General features: G+C 42.4%; 2 annotated features.

Moving 5' to 3' along the window:
• Window positions 5,771-5,820: an enhancer, noted in NCBI's record as "active region_7756". NCBI's record gives its function as "activates an Ori minimal core promoter by ATAC-STARR-seq in GM12878 lymphoblastoid cells {active_cell/tissue: GM12878}" and the evidence as "EXISTENCE:reporter gene assay evidence [ECO:0000049][PMID:35858748]".
• Window positions 6,401-6,650: a silencer, noted in NCBI's record as "silent region_5349". NCBI's record gives its function as "represses an Ori minimal core promoter by ATAC-STARR-seq in GM12878 lymphoblastoid cells {active_cell/tissue: GM12878}" and the evidence as "EXISTENCE:reporter gene assay evidence [ECO:0000049][PMID:35858748]".

Genomic DNA, 6,661 nt, shown 5'->3' with positions numbered 1-6,661 from the left:
AGATCATCCTGGCTAACACGGTGAAACCCCGTGTCTACTAAAAATAGAAAAAAAAATAGAAAAAAAAAATGGTGGCGGGCGCCTATAGTCCCAGCTACTCGGGAGGCTGAGGCAGGAGAATGGCGTGAACCCGGGAGGCGGAGCTTGTAGTGAGCCGAATCGCGCCACTGCACTCCAACCTGGGCGACAGAGTGAGACTCTGTCTCAAAAAAAAAGGATTTGGTTAAAAGTTTGGAATAGCTAAAAATAAGAAAAAAGTATTTTAATTATACTAAATTCTCTGCAAATCTATTCTGCTACACTAAAGTTCTCTTGGCCATAAACATATCCCTGGAGCTTCTTCTCACTAACTCTTGGTATTTCAAAGTTATTTCACGTTTTTGTTCTTGTTTTACAAATGGGGTCTTGCCACACTGCCTAGGCTGGAGTGCAGTGGCTATTCACAGGTGCCATCATAGCTCACTACAGCTTTGAACCCTTGGGCTCAAGTGATTCTCCCACCTCAGCCTTCCAAGTACCTGGGACTACACACATGTACTATCATACCCAACTCTCATAGGGTTGTTTCTTTTTTTTGTTGTTTTTTGTTTTGAGCATTTTTCGAACAATCCAGAGTTTCATAAACTTTCACCAACAATTTTAAGTAGTCCCACGTTCCCTATGACTCAGGTTACAGAATCTGTAAAGCATAGTGGCTTAGCAGTTGTCCCCAGAACTACACTAATTCTATCCAGCACCATATCTACAACCATAGACACACTTGCTTTAACAGAAGTATAGCAGTTCCTTCTCAACACAAAAGGCAGGTTTCTGACAGTCCCGGGGATATTCATCTGCAGGGCCATTATTGAGAAAATAGGTTTGAAGGGATTGTCACTATAGGTGGAGCCTTTTGAAAAACTTTATAAATATTTTTACATTCACAAAAATAAAATTATAGAGACTAAATGGCATTGTATCTATCCTAAATTAGTAATGTTGGGTACATTTTAATAATCCATGTGACCTTCCTTGTTACTAGAAATATTTTAGGGTCTTTCTCACAATTTCAACAAAATATTTATAATTTTGTTTGGTTGCAGATATTATATATACCCAGAAGTGTTTTTTTCTTCTGTCTGGTCCTTTCTGCAAATGTCGAGTACTTTTTCACTTTATAATCTGGAGATGGTGACTTCTTGCTCCTTGACCCCTACTGTACTTCAAAGACACAGAATCACTTGAATGCTTGAGATGCTTTGGGAAGCTTTTATTTGAACTATTTGGCACAGCTAAGTGTTCTCCAGCCTTTCTCCCATAATACCAGATTATGTAGCCTTATCTTTGGCCATGAAAACTTTGTACACACTTCTCATCAGCCCTTTCTACAAAGTCACAGGTTTAAATGCCCTCCTGTTAATAAGGAGCATAGATCCAAGGACGAACTTTACTTGTCCTCATCTTCCTTTATTTCTTTTGAAAATGCAAAAAACTACTTTGGTTTTGACCTTTGCTTTGTCTCCCTTTTGTATCCTCAGTATCTATTTTCGCTAATTATTGCCACAGTAGTACTTAGAATCTAAATTGGCAAGGAAAAGTACTTAGAAATACACTAGGGTACTTGCATTTCGAGTAAGGGAACTTGAGGTTGGGCAGGGATCACAGAAATCCCCTTGGTTTATGACAGTCTGCTTTATTTTCCATGGAAGGTAAGCAGAATAAGGTACAGTTCTAGGTTGAAAGTTTTTGGTAAATCACATTTTCTATTCTCTGAGACCTTTTTTATGTAGCACTTGCTATTGCTTTTTCTTCATTTTAAATATTAAAAAAATTGTTCTATTTTTATTTCTTTTGTACCTTTTTCAAATTCCTTTATTTTACCCCAGCTTCTTTTTCTTCCTAATGCCAAGTCTCTGCATTTTCCAAGTCTCCAACCTGGTTTACCTGTCTTAGCAATTAAAAGTACTATGTTGACCAGGCTGGTCTCAAACTCCTGACTTCAGGTGATTCGCCCTCCTCAGCCTCCCAAAGTGCGTTTCTACTAAAAATACAAAAATTAGCTGGTTGTGGTGGCGGGCGTCGGTAATCCCAGCTACTCAGGAGGCTGAGGCAGAAGAATCGATTGATCCCAGGAGACAGAGGCTGCAGTGAACTGAGATCGCACCATTGCACTCCAGCCTGGGCGACAAGAGTAAGACTCTGTCTCAAAAAAAAAAAAAAAGTACTAAACAGGCCAGGCAGGGTGGCTCATGCCTATAATCCCAGCGCTTCGGGAGGCCAAGGTGAGTGGATCCCTTGAGCCTAGGAGTTCAAGACCAGCCTGGGCAACATGGTGAAACCCCATCTCTATAAAAAACACAAAAAATTAGCCAGGCGTGGTGGTGCCACTGCACTCCAGTCTGGGCAACAGAGTGAGACCCTGTCTCAAAAAAAGAAAAAGAAGAAAAAAAGTACTAAATATCGTTTTTTTTTTCCGGTAGAGACAGCCTGTTAAGGACAAACCTGCAAAATATTAATATTCAAAGGCACCGCTAAGAGAACCAACTAATGGCAGTCTGTTGCAGTTACAAGGTTGACGTTATTTTCCTTATTTATTTTTGGTTGTTCAATCTAGGTAATATAACTTATAATTCAGGAAATCCAGATTAAATGAGCACAATTCATGCCAAGTAAATTTAAATGTCAGTCTCTGAGGAAAGGGGATAGAAGGAGACAAATACAAATTAGGAATGTATATTCATTTTTTATTTTTTTATTTTTTTTTTGAGATAGAGTCTTGCTCTGTCACCCAGGCTGGAGTGCAATGGCACGATCTTGGTTCACTGCAACCTCCGCCTCTGGGTTCAAGCGATTCTCCTGCCTCAGCCTCCCAAGTAGCTGGGATTACAGGCACACACTGCCATGCCCGGCTAATTTTTTTGTTTGTTTTTAGTAGAGACAGGGTTTCACCATGTTGCCCAGGCTGGTTTCGAACTCCTGAGCTCAGGCAGTCCATATCCCTCGGCCTCCCAAAGTGCTGGGATTACAGGCGTGAACCACCGCACCAGACCTAGGAATGTATTTTTAAATGTAACACCCTAGGAGGCAGTTTGCAGAGTGGTTAAGAACACAGACCCTAGAGCCAGAATGTCTGTTTGAATTTAGCTTCATCCTTCATTGACTGTGCAACTTTTGAGTACATTTCTTATTTTTTCTTCAGCTTCCTCATCTGTAAAGTGGAGGATAGTTTTTCCCTCACATGGTTGTTACAAAGACTAAATTAGTTTATTTTTAAAAAACACTTAGAACAGTGCCTGGCAATAATAAGCACTACATAAATGTCAATCACTATTAGTTACTCAAAATTATAATAATGAATTGGTCAAGGCTCCAGAAATATGTCAGTTTTTAGAAAAATGAGTTTTTGTTAATGTTTCTGATTTTTAAAAAGATCACAAATGTGGTTTGGATTAGTCTAAGGAAAAATGTTTTGTTTAATAACTGATTAATGAGTTTTTAAAAACTCATTTCGTATGACCCAGTACAGAATGGGAAATTCACTAACAGAAGACGTCCAGCTGGCATAAAAAACATTAAAGAAAATCTTAAGCATAATGCTAATCTCAACTCTGAAACACAAGCTTTACATTATTGTTCTCAGTTCTCGAGTTCCTGGCATGTCTTGGAAGCAGACAGACTCTTTTTTTGAAGTAGTCATTCTTTCTTATTGCTTATGACTTAGATAAATGACCTTGAGAAACTATTTTTGGCTTTATTTGTGATTGTTATTTAAAGCGATAGCTGTGAAAGAGTGTCAAAACATCTTTAACGTTGTGCTTTTCAAAAAGAGAGGATAATTCCTTTGAAAGTAATAATGAATGGATATTAGAATCCCAGATATTAGAAGGAAAAGTGAGCTCATGGATGGTGTTAATCTGCCAAGACAGGGAAGTCTGTTTCAGGAGCTAACCAGTTTTGCTAACTTCATTCTGCTGAGCACACTCGAGTTGCTAGGATGGGGGCAAAGTGCACCGGGCAGCGCCCCAGCAAATTACTTTTCCAGCTAGGAAAGACTATGGCCCTTCTGCCTCTCTATAGTAATGTCCAATTCACGGCCATTTAGTGTCTGGCTTTTCATTGAAGATGTGACTGACTTGAATGGCCTAAATGTTTATTACATATATAATACATGTACTTCTTTTAATAATATTTCTGAACAAAATTTTTACTTTATAACAACTAATTCTATTATATTTTGTCTATACATGCATTATGGCAGCTTATATCCAATGTGGAGATAAATGAAACACACAAAAAAGGGCAAATCTGCATTTTGAACTGAGAGCATGTTTAAGAGGATTATAGCATTAATTATAAGAGAAAGAATTTGAGAGGCAGTGTTAAAGCAAACTAAATATGGCCTGAGAAGGACTCTGTACTTCTGTATTTGAGTCCTTGTGTACGAACTGTAACCTAGGTTAATAGGCAGACAAGCTTGAAAACCTAATTTAGGAGTATGCACCTGTAACAATAGCTGAGTCTTGGCCAATCCCAGCGGCCATACTTCAACCAGTCATACACTGCTGATTGTTCAAACTGTGTTCAAATAAGGCAAACGCCCCCCTGTAACCAATGCAGCTGTTTCTGTATCTCACTGCTGATTTCTGTACGTCACTTCCCTCTTTTTGTCTAAAAATTTGTTCTGACCACGAGGCATCCCTGGAGTCTCTCTGAATCTGCTGTGATTCTGGGGGCTGCCCAGTCATTCACTGCTCAGTTTAACTCCTTTAAATTTAGTTCAGCTGAAGTTTTTCTTCTAACAGGAATCAGACTGGTAAGCCTTGAATCCTACCTGTTTATCTCCTGCTCACCTGAAGTTGTAAAGTTTAGTACCTCTAGGCCTATTTCTTCACCTATAAAATGGGGACAATACTGACCTTGAAATCTTGAAATAATTCAACTAGATATATATATATGAACGGTAGAAAAATTTTGTCTCTCCAATATTCTGTTAAAATTCTCACCCCCTGCCCCGCCCCCAGCACTTCCCTGGGGTTAAAAAAAAAAAAAAAAAAAAAAATCAAAGCACTTAATTCCCAGCATAACGATGAAGGTTTGTCATAAAAGAAAATTTCTTGTGTGAAATGATTACCAAGAAAGTACTGCATACGCAATGGGGGAAAAGACCAACCCTCAATCAGTTTAATAATCACCTTGGTTATTAAATTCTATGGTAACTTAATTTCAACGTACAAAACTTTCCCTTAGTATTGTAATGAAAACACCATTTATAGAAAGAGAACCAGGAACCTGAAAAATTCCCCTCATTGCATAGATAGAAATCCTCCTTAAAAAACATTTATAACTCGGGTCACTAAAAGTTACGTATGGGAAATCATTATTTAAGTAGTGGGCATTTTATGTCCAGTTTCCCAGGACTTGATGATCCATCCCTAGGGAAGCCTTCAGGATGAAACTGATCTGGGAACAGAGGTTTGAGCTAGGTTAATTCTAGAGGTCGTCCCAGACATTTCCAGATGCCAAGCGGTATCTTTTTTTTTTTTTTTTTTTTTTTGGAGACAGAGTCTCTGTTGCCCAGGCTGGAGGGCAGTGGCGCGATCTAGGCTCACTGTAACCTCCGCCTCCCGGGTTTAAGCGATTCTCGTGCCACAACCTCCTGAGTGGCTGGGATTACAGGCGTGCACCACCGCACCCAGCTAATTTTTGTATTTTTAGTAGAGACGGGGTTTCACCATGTTGGCCATCCTGGTCTTGAACTCCTGACCTCAGGTGATCCGCCCACCTCAGCCTCCCAAAGTGCTGGGATTACAGGCGTGAGCCACTGCACCCGGCCTGAAGATGTAAAATCTACCACGGAAGGATGATCTAAGTGGGGAAGGAGATGACAGGTGACAGCCTCCCGTGTGGAAGCAGAAAGTAGCGGACGGTAGGAGCCGAAGGCTTCCCTCGGGACCCAGCAGACTTCCCGCAGCCTCCTGGGTTCCCGTCACATTCCTCGGAACCCTCAGTGCACCAGACAGGGGGAGCTTGGAAGAGGCAGGTCAAGAATCGCCCCCGACCCCGCCCCAGCGTTCTGCTCCCAGGGCGGCCTCCCACGCGCCCCGGACCACGCAGCCCGATGGGCCAGGTAGGGCGCGTCTCTGCACCGAAAATGCATTAGGGCCCGCGTGAGCCCCGGTGAACATCCACAGTGCAGTCACTAACAGGCATTACTCCTGGGGCCCACGTGAGTCTATTTAGCATGTGAGGGAAACCAGCCACGGCAGGGAGACTGGGGCTCTCCGTGGTGGCAAAGCCTGCTCAACCTGGGCCCGCGGAGGGAAAACTCGGAAGTCATTTCCATTAGCTCCCCTTCCCCCAAACTGATTCGCTTCTGTCAATCCATCCCTAGAAATAATGTCGAGGCCGGGACCAAGGGGTGCTGCGTTTTAAAAATTCTGCATAGGAAAACCCCTGGAAGTACTGAGGGACAGACAGCCCCACTCACCTGTCAGCCCTGGGGGCGTGCGCGAAACCGCCCAAGGAGAAAAAACCAGCTGGTGCGCAGGCGCACGCCGTCCCACATCCGCAGGCCCGCAACGCCACGCCCCCTGCCACGCCTCCGCGCGCCACTAGCCCCACCCGTCTCCCCGGCCCAGCCCGGCCGCTCGCCCTGTCCGGTCTCTCCCCGGCCCCTTGATTC

This window comes from Homo sapiens, chromosome 13 (genome assembly GCF_000001405.40).
Source record: "Homo sapiens chromosome 13, GRCh38.p14 Primary Assembly".
NCBI classification, from domain to species: domain Eukaryota; kingdom Metazoa; phylum Chordata; class Mammalia; order Primates; family Hominidae; genus Homo; species Homo sapiens.
The sequence above is the reverse complement of the archived record's forward strand: the minus strand, read 5'-3'. Positions and strand labels throughout refer to the sequence as shown.